Below are 19,568 nucleotides of genomic sequence, written 5' to 3' on the forward strand. Positions count from 1 at the left end.
AGAAAGGGCACAAGAGTGGCCCACATGATGCTGACATGCTGTTTTCTCAGATCTGGTGAGCTGGCCCCCATGTGTTCAATTGCCCCAGTGCTTCCAGTCTTGCCTCTAGGGTCTTTTCTCAGCAGAGTAGCCAGAGGGATCTTTCAAAGCATATAACAGATCAGGCCACTTGCCGGGTCAAAAGCCTCCAATGACTCCCCCTGTCTCTCAGAAGAGTAAAAGTCCTTCGTGTATTTCCCAAAACCTTACATGATATGGATGTATCCCAGCCCCACTCACTCTATAACCCCTCTCTTGCCACTCTCCTGTGGCTTCCTCTGCTCCATCCACATGGTCCTCCTCATTGTCCCTCAGCGACGTCAAGCTCAGCCCTCTGGATCTGCCATCCCAGTGCCTGGAATGCTCTTCCCCGATTGCCCCTGTGGTGAGTTCTCAGGTCCTTCAACTCTCCACTGATGATGCCTTCTCTGACTCAACTAAAAAGGGAGAACTCTATTCCCAAGCAGCATTTTCCTTCCACCTTCCCTACATTATTGTCCCCAATAACACTTGTCATCACACGGTGCATTTACTTGTTGATTTGTATACTGCCTATCTAGACAGACTAGAATAAAATCACAAGGAAACCTGTGTCTGTTTCCCCACTATAGCCCCAGCACCTGAGCCTATAGCCCCCACACCTGTACTGCAAGCACCTAGAAGGGTCCTGAACTCAGAGTCTCAGACTAGGCATTGCCCTAATGTTGAGTAAATGAATGCCTACATGCCCACACCCCTGAGCCTCTGCTCATGGGCCCTCTCTACCTAGGATGACAGCATCGCATCCACTTCTCCAATGGTTCTATTTTTTTTTTAATTATGTATGTATGTATGTATGTATGTATGTATGTATTTATTTTTGAGATGGAGTCTGGCTCTCAAAATTGTCCAGGCTGGAGTGCAGTGGTGCGATCTCGGCTCACTGCAAGCTCCGCCTCCCGGGTTCATGCCATTCTCCTGCCTCAGCCTCCCGAGTAGCTGGGACTACAGTCATCTGCCACCACGCCCGGCTAATTCTTTGTATTTTTAGTAGAGACGGGGTTTCACTGTGTTAGCCAGGATGGTCTCGATCTCCTGACCTCGTGATCCACCCACCTCAGCCTCCCAAAGTGCTGGGATTACAGGCATGAGCCACTGCACCCAGCCTGGTTCTTCCTTCAAGGTCTAGCTCAGTGTTGCCTGATCTCGGTGACATCAGAGATAAGGCAACACTTTTTACTTTATCTCCATCTGACATCACTTTTTGTCCATCTCACCCCAGCAGAATTCTACACCTTCTTTTGGGTACTGCCATCATATTTTACATACACTTCTATAATAATGCTCACCCTATTAAATTACTGTCCTGTTTTTTCAAAAATGTATATAAGAAGTACATGAATACATTCACATTATTAAATATAGGTAAAGTGAAGATGTCTATTACACTCTAAATCTATCTTTCCTTCCCAGAAGGAATCTTGCCTGGGAATTTACATACATATATAGAAATAAAAATGTGAAGTTTTGTTTTGAGTGTGTGTATGTGTGCTTTTTTATATATACATTTTCTATTAGTATTTGCAGCTTCTCCATGAAATACTTTGGACAACTGTCCATTTTATTTTATTTTATTTTTATTTTATGTGGGTACATAGTGGGTGTATATATTTGTGGTATGCATGAGATGTTTTGAAACAGGCATGCAATGTGCAATAACCACATCAGGGAGAATGGGGTATCCTTTCCCTCAATCATTTATCCTTTGTGTTACAAACAATCCAATTACACTATTTTAATTATGAAATATACAATTAAGTTATTATTGACTAGAATCACCCTGTCATTCTATAAAATAGTAGGTCTTATTCATTCTATTTTTTTGTACTCATTAAGCATCTCCACCTCCCCCCACCCTTTCACTACCCTTCCTATCCTCTGGTAGCCATCCTTCTACTCTCTTATGTCCATGGGTTCAATTCAACTCATGGACATTTTATACCTGTATATATTCTCCATTTCGAAAAACTTCCGCATTGAATTACATAGAATTGCATGGCGATTTTGTCAGCCATTCTCCATCTTATAGATACTTAGATGGTTTTCATTATTGCAACAATGCCTCAGTGAATGTTCTTATACCAGTCTCTCAGTGCAGACATATTTCTGTAGACTAGACACCTAAATGGGAAATGGAGGATCTGAAAAGAGTACAGATTTTAATCTACCAATTTGCCCTCTAAAAAGCCTGCAGAAACAACACTTCGCATGAACGCACAATATTTCCAGTGTTTTTACTGTCTGCATATTTACTGGGATAAAATATCTCATTTAAGTTTTATTTTTTATTTCTCTGATTATTACTGAAGTTGGACATGTTTGTGTCTATTTACTGGAAATTAGATTCTCTCCCCCTTTGACTTGTCTGTCCATATTTGGAGGCTCATTTTTCTTTCCTATTGCTGTCAGTATCTTTCTTTCTTTTTTTTTTTTTTTTTGAGACGGAGTTTCACTCTTGTCTCTTGTTGCCCAGGCTGGAGCGCAGTGGCATGATCGCTTCTCACTGCAACATCTGCTTACTGTGTTCAAGGGATTCTCCTGCCTCAGCCTCCTGAGTAGCTGGGATTACAGGCGCATGCCAACACGCCCAGCTAATTTTTTGTATTTTTAGTAGAGATGGGGTTTCATCATGTTGGCCAGGGTGGTCTCCAGCTCCTGACCTCAGGTGATCCACCCGCCTCAGCCTCCCAAAGTGCAGGGATTACAGGGGTGAGCCACCGCATTCGGCCTGCTGTCAGTATGTTTCTATGTCTCTGCTTGTCTTACTTGACTGTGAACACTTGTGGGGTGTTCATCACATTAACCTCAGGTTCTCCCTTCCAGGACACACAGCTGGTGCTTAATGAATGTTTATTCAGTTGTGTTATGGAAGTCATAAGTATTACCCTTAACATAGTTGTCACTGTCATCTTCATCATCATCACTATTCATTTATACTTCCTGTATGCTAAGCACTGCCTTAAGAGGTATGCATCCATCTCCCTAATTTTCATATTACCTCACCCAACATGGTCACTATTGATATCTCTGTTTTGCAGATAAGCAGCCGAGATGGAAACTACCTAGGCTGTCCAAGTACACTGAGCACACTCAGCTCTGGGGAGGTGAGCTTATGAAGCTAGTGCTTCTCCTTCACAGCTATGGTCTTCATCCTGGCTACACGTTGGAATCACCTAAACAGGCTAGGCATGGTGATTCATGCTTATAATCCCACTATTTGGTGAGGCTGAGGTGGGAGGATCACTTGAGACCAGGAGTTTGAGACCAGTCTGGGCAACACAGTGAGACCTCGTCTCTATAAAAGCATTTTTAAAAAATCACCCAGGTGTGGTGGTGCATGCCTGTGGTCCCAGCTGCTCCGGAGGCTGAGGTGGGAGGATCGATTGAACCTAAGAGTCAAGGCTGCAGTGAGCTATGATCATGCACTGCACTCCAGCTTGGGCAACAGAGTGAGGCTATGTCTTTAAAAATAATAATAATGATAATAATAATAATAAAATTTTCAAAATAGAATTACATAAACATTATTTTAAAAGATTCCTTTGTTCCAGCCCTACTCTAGGCCAATCGATTCAGAATCTCAGGGAATGGGTCTGGAGAAGTAACATTAAAAAACGAACAAACAAAACAAAACCCTGAAATCCTGTAGGTGATTCTGATGCACTGAAATAATGGGAGCCATTGGTCTACATCAGAAGTACGGAAACTTTTTCTGTGAAAGGCCTGATAGTAAATATTTTAGATTTTGCAGGCCGTGAAGTCTCTGTGGCAACTACTCAACTTGGCTGTCGAGACATAGAAAAAAAAATGAGTGTGGTTGTGTTTCAATAAAACCTTATTCACAAAAACAAATGGCAGCCACATTGGGCCCATGGACTGCAATATTGGCCTCTGAGCCAATAGCACCCAAGAGTTTCTATCATAATACTTTAACAAGCCTGCAATTTAGGACTGTCCCAGTCAAACCATGATCTCTGATCACATTAAGCATCATGGTCATTCTCCATGGATGATGGCTTAAGAATCCTTGCCCGATCTCGGGAGAGTCTGCTTCAGTGGGTCTGGGCCTGGGAGTCTGCATTATAATGCAGGTCATTAAGATGTAGGTAGTAGACCTTATGGACCACACTGGAAGAATCACTGATCTACTGATGCATAATTGTTCCTGGCAAGCAGCAAAAGCTTGGCTGAAGAAGCAGAACTGGCTCTTATTCAAAAATCCTTTAAGATCACAGATAGGCATTCTGTGCCCCCCGCCTGCCTTATGTTCCAGCATCCTGCCTCCAGCGTTCTGAAACCTTTCACGCCCCAGCATCAAACCCTCCCAGACTGAATGTTGACAGAGAAGAAAGAAAGCTATCCCTTCTCTTTAACTCTGAAATTAGTCAAAGACCAAAGTCCTTGTCTATTTCAGAATATTGAAAAAGAAAGTGGCTGTTTAACCACCTACATAATAAAACTGATGCTGGCATTTATCTCTGTGTGTGTGTGTGTGTGTGTGTGTGTGTTTCAGCAGTTGTAAAATGGAGCGTCCATTCTCCTGTCATCAGCTTTAAAGCTATGTGGCGGTTGAATGCAATCATTTCTGTTTTCCTCTTTAACATCCATTATTTCTCTGTTGTCCACATCTAATAGTCACAATCCTTTTAGTTGTTGATGGCGTGGCGATTACCCGGGCTACCGCTTTAGGATTACATCCAAATGCATCTGAACAGTTGAATTTACTTACTGTTTTCCTCCTAAAAGCTTTTTAACATGATCCAACTGGGATGGTTGCATCAGGAGAATCATTATTTGCAGCTTTCTGTTTTGGGAGATGGAAATAAATTTCCCAAAAGATGAAAGCAAACTGTTCAGTGTAGATCTGCAGTGTGACTTTTTGTTCTCTCTCCTTTTTACATTCCATTTTCACAATTTTCCTCAGGAATGACTCTTCTCTTGGGAAAGAGGAATGTTTTAAAATGCACAATTGAGTCAAATCAATATTTAGAGTGGTTTGAACTTTCAGCCTTTTGCTGGATTTTGGCAGTATCATTTTACACTATAAATCCCTTTTCCCCGGTAACCTATAATATTAATATTAAACATTATTCACAGCTTTCTAACACCCCCCAATTTCACTCAGCTATCAGCAAAACAAATAGTACCCAAGAGTTAAAAAGTTGCTATTCTTCTTCTAAAGCACAAGCACTTTTATGTTAAAATGGTATTGCTGTGTGTTCTCAATATCTATATACCTACCTACCTGTGCGTGTAGTAGCTTTCAACATTGTAATTAGACATTGAAACTGCACAGTGCAAGCATAATGCACACACAGAGATTTGAAAAGCAGCTGTGACAAGTGCATGGTATGGTAAAGCAACTTTACAATAGCTAGGACAAATTCTACAATCTATTTATGGAGGGTTTCAAATAAAAAATTAGGTAGAAGAATCTGAACCCTTTCATGCGGGAGGATTGCATGGATGATGAAATCTCTCATACCTCTCCTCTCTGGTAGAGTTATTTGAAGATGGTGTTTAATACTGGAAGGCTAATAGCATGGGGAAGCCAATCTTCTTGGGTTGAAATCCCAGCCTAGCTGCTGTGTGATCTGGGGCAAGTTGCTTTACCTCTCTGAGGCTCAGTGACTGTTACATTATAGGAATAATAGGAAGACATTCACATCATGACGTTCTAGTGAGGATTAAGTGAGGTCCCAGATGTCGGGTATCAGACACAGCTTCCTCATGTGAGAATTGTAACCACAGTGTAATGATGAGAAGGAAAAGAGATCATTATTACCAGGGAGACTCTCTGAAACACGCGCAGCAATTACAATCTTCCCTTATGAACTGGCTTGGTTAACAGCATCCACATCCACTCCGCTATGCTAGTAAAAAATTGAGAAGCTGTACTTTAAACCCCTGCCCTTCTTGTACCCCCGCCTTCCATGATTAATTGGTCCCCAAATTGTGCCATTCGCCCTCCCAAGTAACTTTCAAATTCTGCCTCCCCCTCTTCATTCTCCCTGCCACTACCTCAGCCCAGGCCCTTACTAGCATTTATCTGGATGAATGCAAGAACCTCTTAACCAGTTTCACTGTCTTCAGCTAGGATCCTCCCTGAATCATTACTAGCCATATTTTGCAGCATAGGAAATTGAAGCACAGAGAAGTTTGACAAATAGCCACAAATCACACAGCTGGTAAGTGGTGTTGGTGGAATCCCAACCCAGGCTGTCTGGTCTCAGAATTTTCTGCTTTGTTTTGGAATACTGGGTTCACTGCGTCGTGTGGATAAAGAAACCCAGTGGTGGCTTTAAGCCTCATGTTTGTACTTCTGGTGAGTCCAATTTCTCCATTGACAAATCTTTCATCAGAGCTGTTACTTGATTCTGCAAGAGCTTCAAGGAGTAGCCAAGGGACCATTGCGCAGGAAGAGAGAGGGAGGAGGAAAAGACGGAAGCCGTGGAGTTTTCAGCCCCACACCCCCATTCTCTGGAGAGGGGAGAAGGGCTGGTAGTGGAATTAATCATTGATCTTTCCTATGTGATGGAGCCTTTACAAAAATCCCTGAACTATGAAGGTTGGCGGAGCTTCTGGGTTGGTGAACACATCTGAGTGCCAGGGTTATGCACCCCAACTCCATGGGGATGGAAGCTCCTGCACTTGGGTCTTTTCCAGACCTTGCCCCATGCATCTTTTCATCTGGCTATTCCTCCCTTTCCTTTATTGTATCTCTTGTTAATTACATGGTAAATGTAAGTTAAAAAAAAATAGGAGGGATCTAGATTAGGGATGGGCAAGCTAGGGATACATATCCATTTCAACATTCCAGGAGTCTAGTCCACTGGATGGGGCCAGGCAGGGGCATCTGCAGGTTGGGATGATGCTTGGATTCTGGTAGGAAGTAGGCTGCTTGCTCAGGCAGATGTAATGTTGCAGGACCATAGTGTCAATCATCCATGTCCCATTGAAGGATACAACCTGATGGAAGCTGGGACCGAGAGCTTTATTATGTCCTGTGGTCACCGGCACCAGAGTGGCAGGGAAGGTAAACTGAGACACTTAAGACCCTGGACAGGATTGATTGCTGACCAGTCTACAAATCTCAACGCTCTCCTGGGAGACTGACTGCCGTCTGTGCAACCATGATCCTGCAAAAGACACTGAGAGCCCATGCGGCTGTGTAATTTGTATATCAACCTGCTCTAAAGGCTGTGGGTGCAGCACTAAGAACACAACTAGAGAGCCTGACATATTACGATCCTGGCATTTGCTTGCTCAGGGTCTACCGTGGCATTTCTCAGCTGTGTCTGAGAGATGTCAGTAGCTGTTACAAGAGATGAAAAAGAAAGGCAGGGGGTAGCATCATGGTGAAAAGTATCAGAAAAAAAATGACCTCTACCCTTTCTGAATTTAAAAAGGCAGCATGATATCACTGACTTTGGAATTCATAATGCATCTTAGCATTAATGTTCTGGGGTAAAGAATTCTTCTTTAGTTTAGTTTAATATATTCTTGCCTGTACTTATTTGACCGAAGAACTGCTTTTACCCAGAAGAGCCAGAACATATTGAAAACATTATCCCTTGGGATTCGGTTTGGGAAATACTAATTTAGTTGAATGTAGCACTAGAACTCGCAGTACATAAGAAGGCAGAAAATGAGCAGGCTCACCAGTGTAGACTGTCCACACTGGTGGATTTTACCTGATTCCCAGGATTCTCCACACTAGATCTGAGCTCTGCTAATGTGGGCACCGTGTCTATCTTGTTCACTACTCACTCTTCCTAAGCCCTTGATGGCTGATTTTTTTGGTACATCCGACACCTTCTTTAGAACAACTATTGTTCACGAATTTTCCATCTCTCTTGACATTGTCATCTTCTTTACTGTTTTCCTGCACTTTTATAACATCCCAAGTTCTCTCTCACATGGATTATATTTTTATGGTTTGAAGCTGACCTTTTCCTTGACCACATTTAATGCATATTTTAACTCTCTTTATTTTATTTTGTTCTCTACACAATCTAGCTTACCACAACCAACCATTTATTCATTTCAGTTCATTTTTTATCATTTCAGCTTTATTTTACATTACATCGAAATTACATTTTTGAAACTTTATGGAGACCATAAAACATTTGCTTTCAAAAAATTACTCTTGTTGCCTATAGTATCTTCTCCATAGGCATATTCTACCTGTGTTTTATGATTTCTATAGCCTTCTTTCTTGCTGCACAAGTTTTGGCTGTGCTTATATTTCCTCATGTAAGGACAGGAAATTTTTTTTTTTTTTTTTTTTTTTGAGACAGAGTATCGCTCTATCGCCCAGGCTGGAGTGCAATGGCGTGATCTCGGCTCACTGCAACCTCTGCCTCCCAGGTTCAAGCGATTCTCCTGTCTCAGCCTCCTGAGTAGCTGGGATGACAGGCACTTGCCACCACGCCCAGCTAATTTTTGTGTTTTTAGTAGAGACAGGTTTTTACCATGTTGGCCAGGCTGGTCCCGAACTCTTGACTTCAGGCCATCCACCTGTCTCGGCTTCCCAAAGTGCTGGGATTACAGGCATGAGCCACGGTACCCGGCCCAGGAAAAAGTTTTATTCAGTCCTGCTGTTTGTCCATGTTAGTGTCTGTAGATCCATCTTTATTTCCCTTCTTTATTTACCTGTGGACCCTTCACTTCACTTCTGATTGCTGTTAGAACCTGTTTCTTATGTCAGTGATATTCACCACCCTGAATCAGATTTTTGGCATCTTGGAAGATGTTTAGCCAGTGTGGCTCTTTAAGACTCAGGAGGATTTTCCTATCTCAGCTTCATGTAGAGAAATTTATATATGTATATATGTGTATATATATATATATGTGTGTGTGTGTATGTGTGTAAACATTACACAATACTTACTGGGGTGCTAGGCACTGTTCCAAAGCCTTTTACATTCATTTAATCTGCACAGTAACCCTCTGAGATTGGTACTGTTAGTATTCCCATTTGACAGATGCAGAAATGAGTCACTTTAATTCATCCAACATCGCACAACTAGTAAGTGTCTAAGTCAAAATTCAAATGTAAGCAAACTGGTGCTGAAGTCTGTGCTGTTAACTAGTACAATATGTTTCCTCTTCATTCCTTTCTTGCAAAATAAAAAAAAAGAGTAAAAAGCTATAGCTGCCTTGATTTACCTGTTTCTGTGCTTTCCTGCTTAAAATAATACATGATTGCTGTGTTCCACAACTGGGCATCATAGTCCTGCATAAGTGTAGGAAGTACTCATTGGCTAATTAGAGGAATGGAGGGCTAAGTTGCCATGAGCACCTCCTAACAGAGTTCTTGCATGATGGGGAAGGCTTCCTGCCTCTGGCTGGCACAGGGTACTCATCTCTAAGCCCCTGTAGGTCAGAAGTTGTAGCAGAAGTGCCTGGCTTTATTTTTCTGCATCAAGGACTCTTCCCTTCTTTGGTTAGTGAAAATTCCTTGAGGGCCCAGAAGATTTCGATCAATATTTTTTTGTTCCCAAGACTGTAGCAACCTTTCATTTATTGGTGTGTGTATATGTTCATGAATATTCCAGTGGGAAGTTGGTGGAAAGGGAAGCTAGTCATTTGTCAGTTGGTGTCTTGCCCAGGAAGTCTCCCTTATCTAGTTTAATCCTTAAAACAACCTTGAAGGATGCTGTTATCAACCCTGCTTTCCAGGTGAGAAGATGAGAGCTCAGAGTGCTTAAGAAGTCATCCAGGTCACACAGCTAGTAAATGAAAAAGGCAGAATGCAAGCCGTGATCTCGTCTCCAAAGCCCTGTTTTCTCAGCTATTACTCACTTCCTTCAGTTTCCAGTCAGTTCATTTTAATTCCTTGTACTTAATTCAATCTTAACGAAGATGCATTTGCTGAACTCCTTTTATATGAGTAAGAACTGGACCTTGGACTCAAGAAGTTCATGATGAGAAGCCAAAGGTAGAAGGTGGTGATGATGGACCATGAGCGGTGTAACAGAGACTGCAGGATTTGGGCAAAAGTGGAATTTCTACTTTTGTGCCTGGTTTGAAAATGTCTGATGATGAGGGCACTCAGAGCAATGCTTGAGGAGAGGCATGACTCCTGCTCCAACCAGATGTGAGGCAATCACCTGAGCAGTGGCAGCACTGCAGAGCCTGGAAGTCCAAGATCAAGGTGTCGGCAGGGCTGGTATCTCCTGAGACCTTTCTCCAGGCTGTTAGATGGCTGCTTTATCCTTGTGTCTTTCCATCCTCTTCCCTTTGGGTGTCTGTGTCTTCATCTCCTCTTCTGTAAGGACACTGTTCAGATTGAATTAGGGCATAGCCTAATGACCTCATTTGAACTTAATTACCACTTTAAAGGCCCTATCTCCAAATACAATCATAACAAATGAACGTAGGAACAAACTTCAACAAATGAATGTTAGGGAGGAAGCAATTCAGTCTATAATAGTCTAGAGCCAATGGCAGGTCCAAGTGGCAACATGAGAAAGGATAGATTGTCGACCATATAGCACAACTCTTGGAATGTTACTTAAAGGAATTGGGACATAATTCTTCCTCTAGGCCACCATTTCCGTGCATGGAACATGCGTCACTGAATATGTGTGTGGTTGTATGTGTGACACAGTTTTAAGTGGTACTAGGACACAGCATTCAACAACATTGAATCCTGGCTTGGTGCAGTGGCTCATGCCTAGAATCCCAGCACTTTGGGAGGCCCAGGTGAGAGGATCCTGGGCCTTGAGAGGATCCCGAGAGTTTGAGACCAGCCTGGGCAACATAGTGAGACCCCCATCTCTATTAAAAATAATAATAAAAAAATAGCCAGGTGTGGTGGTGCATAACTATAATTTCAGCTACTTGGGAAGCTGAGGTGGGAGGATCACTTGAGCCCAAGAGTTCAAGGCTGTAGTGAGCTATGTTCACACCACTACACTCTAGCCTGGGTGACAGAGCGAGACCCTGTCTAAAAAGTAAAAAAATAACATTGAATCTCGCAGCAAGAAAGTCATTCTCTTTCCATTTTTCTTGCAGTTCTTTAAGGAGAATGTGTTAGTTGATCATACTATGTCTGTCATACCTCTCTGCCCTTTGTTAATGTCCCTTATTGAGAAAAAACGGAGATAAGAAGCCTTGAGAAATAATGATATCTAGCTAAAATCGGAGACTACTCTTTTGTTTTCACCTTATTTAATTTTTATGATTGCCTTTTATTTGTGGCAAATGATTCTGGGCTTCTGCTTGTGATATTGACATAATAATTATTATCTTATTATTTCCTTATTTTCTAAAGGTAGTCATGTGTTTAAAAAGTGAGTTAAAGAAAATATTGAACAAAGCACAATAAGTCCTGTAAGTAATGACACATATTAGGAAGGCGGAATGAAAAGCTAGAAGGCTGGGAAGTGCTGCCGTGGGTGAAGGCAAGGTGAGGGGGGAGGAAAAAGGTGGACCTGCTGGGAAGTCCGGAGGTCTACATCCGGAGGTCTACATCCGGAGGTCTACATCCGGAGGTCTACATCCGGAGGTCTACATCCGGAGAATGATGTGGCTGTGAGTAGATGTGCCCGTGCATTTGTACTAGTTGCAGTGGGGAATGCGTGCCTCTGTGTGTGTGTGTGTGTGTGTGTGTATGTGTGTGTCCTTGAGCGGAAAAACACAGTTTTTCCTCTGCTTTTACCTCACAACAGTCAACCCAGAAGAGGTCTGTGACCCCACGTGTGGATTTTCCCCCACACACCAAGCAAGCAAGCAAGCAAGCAATTCTGCAGTGGACACCAACTGCACGACCACCAATTCCATTCTGACACCATCTACCTGGAGATAGCGTCAGATTCCACAGCTTGAGGCTGGGCTCAAGCCCCAGGGCATTTTACCTGTGCCTCTAACCGGTTGGCTACAAATCGGGCTTCTCACAACCCCCTCCTTTAAGTTTGATTAATTTGCAGAAGCAGCTCATAGAGCTCAGGAGAATACTTAGGTTTACTGGTTTATTATAAAGGATGTTACAAAGGATACAGATGAAGAGGCGCACAGGACAAAGCATGTGGGAAGGAGTGAGGAGCTTCCGTGCCCTCCCTGGGTGCACCGTCCTCCAGGAGCCTCCCCCTGTCCAGCTGTCCATGAGCCCCCTGAACCCTGCCCTTTGGGTTTTAAAAGAGGCTGTATTATGTAGGCATAATTGATTAAACCATTGTCCATTGGTGATCAACTTAATCTTCTGCCCTCTCCCCCCTGGAGACTGGGAAGCGGGGCTGAAAGTTCAACCCTCTAATCTGCTTTGGTCTTTCCAGTAACCAGCCCCATCCTGAAGCTACCTAGGGGCTGCCAGCCACCAGTCCTCTCATTAATATACAAAAAGACATCACTTTGGAGATCCTAAGAATTTTAGGAGTCATATGCCAGGGAAGAGGTAGAAGACTCTCTCTCTCTGTCTCTCTCTCTCTCTTTCTATATATATATGTATGTATTTTTTTACAATGTCACAGTCCTCATACCCTGAAATCATCCCATAAGCTGAGATGAATTAGTAGGATTGGATATGCCTTGGTTTTCACTCTATAAACAGGATTGAACATGTCCACACACTCTTAGGTATGAATTACATAATGGCATGAATTCATGTTTCTCCAGAAGCAAATAGCGAATGATAAATAGTCATTGAGCACATTTCACATGCCAGGCACTGTGGAAAGTACTGCAGCTACCACATGGATTAAGACAGACAGGGTCCCAGCTAAGGGGTCAAAGACTCGCATGTGATTCCTTCCGCACCACTCACTAACCAGGCACCCTCCGCCGAGCAATTTGAGCTCCTTGAGCCTCAGCATTCTTGTGCGTCCAGCGGACAGAGGCATACCCCATGCATATTGCTCTGGTGATAAATGAGCGGAGGTGTATGAAGGCACTGCCAGTTGTGTGAAGGCATGCATCCAGTGTTATTACCGTGAGCCTTACATTCTGAGTTTCAAAAGTGCCATTCAGAGAATCCTTGCCTTTATGGCCCCCAGAAGCATATGAAAGATAGAGCTTCTACTCAGAAGGCCTAATTGCATAACTTGAGCAATTTAGCTGGAAATGTTAAACACTGTCTGCATCCTGGAGCTGGAATGGAGGGAACCACGTGGATAGGAGGTCGGGGATCTCCTTTAGGGAGCATTGAGTTTAAGGAGACTGGCACCCTCTGTGTTCATCCAGAGAGGTGTGGTGGATTAATACAGTGCAGACCCTGAGTTTTAATAATGAGCCCAACAAGCGTGCAAGGCTCCAGGGAAAATAATTGAAAGGAAACTCTCTAAGTCAGACTTGGTTCCTCCAAACCCATTTGCAATCTCCCTTCCTGTGGGGGTGGGGAGTGGGGAGAAAACTTTAGGTTAACAAGTTAATGACACCTGCCTACTGTGCCTTTAATTACCCTGCAAACCTCAAGCAGAGACTGACAACTGCAAGAGCCATATGCAGATTTCAGGGCTGTCTACACACAGATAACACAGCCTCCTCCCACAAGCTTTCCTGACAAAGACGAGCATGATTCCAGGAAGCCCACCTTCACAGGGCAAGTGAAACTAATAATTTTTTTTTTTCACAAATTGTCTCTTTTAATCTTCAGAACAGACCCTGAGTGGTCAATATTATTGTGTTTATTTACCCAGGGGGAAACTGAGGCTTAGAGATATTAAATATGTCAAAGATCACACAGACCAGAAGTAAGACAGTTGGGACGAGAGCTCTGGTCTCTCTGGCCAAGAACCTGTGTTCACGCAAGGATTTCATGCAGCTGCGGAGGGCCCCACCACTCTCCCTCTCCCTCCCTCCTCTCATCTTCCCTCCCTCTCTTTTGGTCTTTCTCTAATCTCTTTTATTGCCTCCCTCTCTGTTTTCTGTTTTCCCTCCTTCCTCCCCACCCCACACACTTTCTTTCTTTCTCTCTTTCTTTTTCCTCTCTCCCTTTCTTTCCATTCTCACTCCCTCCCGTCTCTTTCTCTCTTTCTTTTCTCCTTCCCTGCCTCCCTCCCTGCCTCCCTCCCTCCCTCCCTCCCTCCCTCCCTCCCTTCCTTCCTTCCTTCCTTCCTTCCGTCCTTCCTTCCTTCCTTCCTTCCTCTTCCCCAAGACAGGTCATAGAAACCAGAACTCCTCTTTCCTAAAGCCAGCCATGAAATCTAAAAATATTATTTTGACCTGCTGGGTAAACTAATGGCCATAAAGAAATGATCTGACCTACATTGACTATAGATCATAAGATCCCCATTCCAGAGAGGGTTGTGTCCCACACCCAGAAGGAAGGAACACTGCTCAGAGAGGCCAAGAAAAATCTAGACAGAGAGGCCTTGCTGCATGTCCCCACTCAGTCTATTGGCATTCCATCGGACCCTTTTTGTCCAATCCTATTTCTACTCGGCTGTCTACCCTTTGTTGAATCTAGCATGAAAATGGACAACTTCTTCTGTATCTTTGAGTCTTCATTCTGAATACTCCAATGTAAAAAAGTTATTCTTATTACTTCTTAATTATTATTATTTTCTTTTGCAACAGAGTCTCATTCTGTCACCCAGGCTGGAGTGCAGTGCCACAATTTCGGCTCAATGCAACCTCTGCCTCCTGGGTTCAAGTGATTCTCCTGCCTCAGCCTCCTGAGTAGCTGGGATTACAAGTGCCCACCACCACGCCTGGCTAATTTTTGTGTTTTTAGTAAAGATGAGGTTTCACCATGTTGGCCAGGCTGGTCTTGAACTCTTGACCTCTAGTGATCCGCCTGCCTCAGCCTCCCAAAGTGCTGGGATTACAGGCGTGAGCTACCACACCTGATTCCCATGTATACATGTTAAATGAAGATGTTGCCTTTTCTCCTAGGAATCTGCCTCATATCAGAGAACCTTTAGGGAGCCAAGGGCTTTGCCCTCAACAGTCCTCACCAACTCTCATGCTTCTTGGACTCTGAACTGGGATATATTTCTGTGCTCTTTTTTGCTCTCTGTGCTGCTTTGCTCTCATGTGGGGACCTTTATCTCTGGAGATCATTCCCGGTTTAAGGTGGGGATTTCCAATTTACTAAATGTCTGCTTTGTCTAGTGTCTTTAACACTGTTCATCTTGCATAACATATGTTGCTAGCTGTCTTCAGACAATTCCATGAAGTTTATTGGAAAAAGTGAAGTAAACCACAGGACAGGGCACCTAGCGTAAGTCCTGGGTCTCTAGTTTGCTGTGTTACCTTGGGCAAGCCCTTTCCTCTCTCTAAACTTCAGAGTTCCCAGCTGTAAAAGATATTCTCCCGAGATGCTTTCAGCTCTTCCATCTGCATGTAAATCCTGATACATAAGACGCTCCCCTCAACAATCAATGATGACCATGTGGTCTTTCTATAATGATCTGTGAGAGCAGGTGGAAGTCTAGGGTCTCCAAATTTACAAGAATTAAGTGAGATAAGTCATTCTGAATGCTTATCACAGCACTTGGAAAAGCTAATTAATGTTAATACTTGCTGCAATTATTATTTAGCATGCACCTCCAATGTCCTAAAAACATCACACAGAGAAAAATATACAGCAACTTCCAGAAGATTTAAGCAATAAGATCTGAGGAAAAAAGCAGTTCCTATGATGATGTGTATAACATCCTGATGGAGAATTTCAGAATTAAGTTCAGAATGAAGGGGACTGTTCTTTCTCAGGAAGACCAAATTTAAGACTTCAGGAAGTGTGGTTCTGATCATCTGGGGACAAGGAGATCTTGATTTTTGGTTTGGGACTTTCATGTATGTTCCTGTGCATGACACTGGTCAAATATTCACCACTCTGGACCCAATTAACTTGCCTGGAAACCTCAAAACAGACTCTAACATGTATATGCGATTTACCAATATATATATAAAAAATACAACAGAGTCTAGTATTTATTTTCTTATTCGTTACTTGTATTACCATTTACTGTGGATATTTTATGCAAGTGTAACAATACCACCATTTTGTGGTGGTTGCGGTAACATCCACCACAAAATCTCCATAATTTTAAATAATTTCTCACTCATAAAACATGCCTATCATGTGACGGCAGAAGTGCACTGCTCCACAGAGGCATTCAGGGATCTACACCAGGGGAGGCTCCCTTGTGACACAGATTTCTACCACCACAAAGACAAGGAAAAGGAAAGCTTAGCAGAAAATGCACCTGCTCTTAGAGTGATACACGTCACTTCCTCCTACATGTCATTGGTCAAAGCAGGTCATATGGCCGTGCCTGAGATTTAGCAGGTGGAGACAATCCTACCAGGTGCCCTGGGCAAGAGGAACAAATATTTGTGAAGGGTATCTCCTCAGGGTATAAACACAACACCATACCTGACTGGTTGGATTTACATCATAATGTATCCTCACTTCCATGAGAAGGAGAGAGAGAGACAGAGAGAGGGAGAGAGAGAGAGAGAGAGAGAGAGAGAGAAGGAGGAGGAGGAAGAAGAAGAAGAAGAAGAGAAGAAGAAGAAGAATGCATTAAGATTCCTTGTTTTTCACAAGAAAGCCAACTCTCCTCCATTCGAATTAACTTCCCCTCCCAATTGACTCAGTTTACCTAACAAGGCAAGAGCTAAACATCTGTTTCCCATGAATCCTTGTCAATTTCCATCAAGGGGCCAGGGAAGTAGGTGGTTCAGTGTCAGAACCAGTGGCCAGCAGACCAAGTTGGAAGTTTTTGAGAACAATTGGTCCGAAAACCATTGGTGCAAGAGGAATGGCTATCTTCAGCAAAATGAAATGGAAAGATAAGAACTGGGTACTGGAGTGGGACAGCACCAGGTCATTATTTTGGTGGTAATTACCCCCATCAGGGTCCAGAGTTTCAAGAGAGTCTCTGAGCTGAGGACTGGGATTGTGGCTATGGGTTCCACCAACTCATAGTCAGGAGCAGGGGGCACAGAGGTGCTCTGGGAGCCATCGCAAGGTAACAAAGCTGTGTGTTTAGACAGTGCTCTTTTATCTAGTGTGAGATGGATGTTTCTGACTGCTCTTTACCTACCTTTGACCACAGAAAGGTGTTTTCGCTTCTCTTCAGCAGAGAATCTTGACTCCTTGCTACCTCTTTACTGGCCTCTGAAGTCATGGGCATTTCCAAGTGCTGGACTAGATGTTCTATGGGGAACTGACAAAAATTATATCTGATTGTTCTGTGTTGTTCCTATGACATTAAATTCAGAGCTACCCAGCACCGCCAGATCACCATTATCTTTTCTTAAATTTGATGAGTTGTTTTTTTTTTTCTATCCTCCAAGATTGCTCTTTAATGTGAATCATTCATGAGAGAGGGTCAGGGCCCTCAGCAGGGAGGCAGCCTGCTGAGGTCAGAGAGGAAGGCACAGGATTTGAAGTTAGACTGGCTCAGCCCCAAACCTCAGCTCTGGCATTGAGAAGATGTGTGGCTGTGGCTAAGTGATTTAGCCTTTGTGAGGTTCAGTTTTCAGCTAGGAGGATAAAGGAGATGATATTTGTAAAGTACTTTACTTTGCCTAGCTCACAGCAGGAACTCAAGCAATGATGATAATTAGGAAGATCTGGGCACTAGTAGGGGAAACTCTGACACTCTTTTTGGGTCATGGTGGCTGGGAACTGAGGGGCACAATGACTTGGTGGGCACAGAGGCTATCAGGGAAGATGTCACATGCACCTGCTGCTGGAATTATGGTGGTAGCCTAGTTCTGGGTGTTACTCACTAATCTAGCTAAGGCTAGCAATACCCACCAATGCTTAGTTTTGAAAAGTTTCCCGCATAATAATCCTCAGACTTCTTATTTTAAAATCTTCAAATCCTGTAAACCTAGTCACTATCCCCTGGCTAAATGTCTTCCACTCTGTAGAACCATTGCATGTGGGTGCATATGGAAGCTCTATTTTCTTTCCTCTCCTCTTAAGTGTTTTTGGGATGAATAATATGCTGATATATTGTAGCTCACCTTGGCTGAATATACAGAAAGAAGTGGCATGCTAACCGTCTGATGGATTTGATTCATTTGGGCAGTGAAGCTTTGCAGTTTGGGCCAAGGGTTCTCAATGACCTGCTTGTCTGTTTACAGGGTTCGGGCTCACTGGACATTTGATAACAATCTCCTCAGGGTATAAACACAACACCATACCTGACCGGCTGGATTTACATCATAATGTATCCTAATTTGCATGAGAAAGAGAGAGACAGAGAGAGAGAGAGAGAGAGAGAGAGAGAGAGAGAGAGAAGAATGCATTAAGATTCATTGTTTTTCACAAGGAAGCAAACTCTCCTCCATTTGAATTAACTTCCCCTCCCAATTGACTCAGTTTACCTAACAAGGCAAGGGCTAAACATCTGTTTCTCACGAATCCTTGTCAATTTCTATCAAGGGGCCAGGGAAGTAGGTGGTTCAGTGTCAGACCCAGTGGCCAGCAGACCAGGTTGGAAGTTTTTGAGAACTATTGGTCAAAAAACCATTGGTGCAAGAATGGCTGTCTTAAGCAGAATGAAATGGGAAGATAAGAACTGGATGCTGGAGTGGGTCAGCACCAGGCCATTATTTTGGTGGTAATTACCCCATCAGAGTCCAAAGCTTCAAGACAGTCTCTGAGCTGAGGACTGGGATTGTGGCTGTGTGCTCCACCAACCCACAGTCAGGAGCAGGGGGCACAGAAGTGCTCTGAGAGCCATTGCAAGGCAGCAAAGCTGTGTGTTTAGACAGTGCTCTTCCCTCTAGTGTGAGGTGGATGTTTCTGACTGACCTTTACCTAATGTGTGCACACTGGTGGGTGCTATTAGCAGCCTCTTATTCAGTAGACAGAGCTTCTCCCTGCCACTGCCCTGCTCCCAACCTCCTAAAAAATCACAAAGGACATCATTGTGTTTCCCACAGTAATGAACCATGACACATAGACATTTATTTGTCTGTTGCTTCTTAAAAATTTTTCATGATAATGCAGATCAGCATACACTCAGCTCAGCATTCTCTGTTATGTAAATATCCTAGCAATGACAAGTTCAACATCTGTATCAATATTAGTATTATAAAATGTATACCTATTTATAATTGTACAGGTATACTTTGTGGAGTAGTTCACATTATATTGTCATATTTAATCTTCACTGTGACCTTGTAGAATTGGTCCAGGTTGAGCATTCCAAATCCCCAAATTCAAAATCCCAAATGCCCCCAGATCTGAAACTCTGAGTGTCAACATGATGCTCAAAGGAAGTGCTCATTAGAGCACTTTTGGATTTTGGATTTTCAGATTTCAGATGCTCAGCCAGTAAGTACATGATGGAAATATTCCAAAATTTGAAAATATCCAAAATCAGAAACACCTCTGGTCACAAGCATTTTGGATAAGGGGTACTCAACCTGCCCTTGATAGGTGGGAAAACTAAGGCTCAGGGAGGTTGGGTAACTTATCCAAGCTTATCCAAGATTCTCTGCTAAAGAGGAGAGCAAACACCTTTCTGTGGCCAAAGGTAGGGCCTTTCACAGGTACTTGCTTCTCTTGCCCAGGGTAC

At 43.2% G+C, this 19,568-nt stretch overlaps 1 protein-coding gene across 1 annotated transcript in view, besides 1 other annotated feature; it reads left to right on the plus strand.

Annotated features, from left to right (window-relative positions):
* HS3ST4 (heparan sulfate-glucosamine 3-sulfotransferase 4) overlaps nucleotides 1–19,568 on the plus strand; it is a 445,727-nt gene that overhangs the window by 345,839 nt on the left and 80,320 nt on the right. The gene's annotated exons all lie outside the window — the stretch shown is intronic.
* Nucleotides 6,499–6,680: a silencer, noted in NCBI's record as "fragment chr16:26055617-26055798 (GRCh37/hg19 assembly coordinates)". NCBI's record gives its function as "represses an EF-1alpha promoter that drives an FKBP-Casp9 reporter gene in an ReSE screen in K562 erythroleukemia cells {active_cell/tissue: K562}" and the evidence as "EXISTENCE:reporter gene assay evidence [ECO:0000049][PMID:32094911]".

Source organism: Homo sapiens, chromosome 16 (assembly GCF_000001405.40).
Source record: "Homo sapiens chromosome 16, GRCh38.p14 Primary Assembly".
Taxonomy (NCBI): domain Eukaryota; kingdom Metazoa; phylum Chordata; class Mammalia; order Primates; family Hominidae; genus Homo; species Homo sapiens.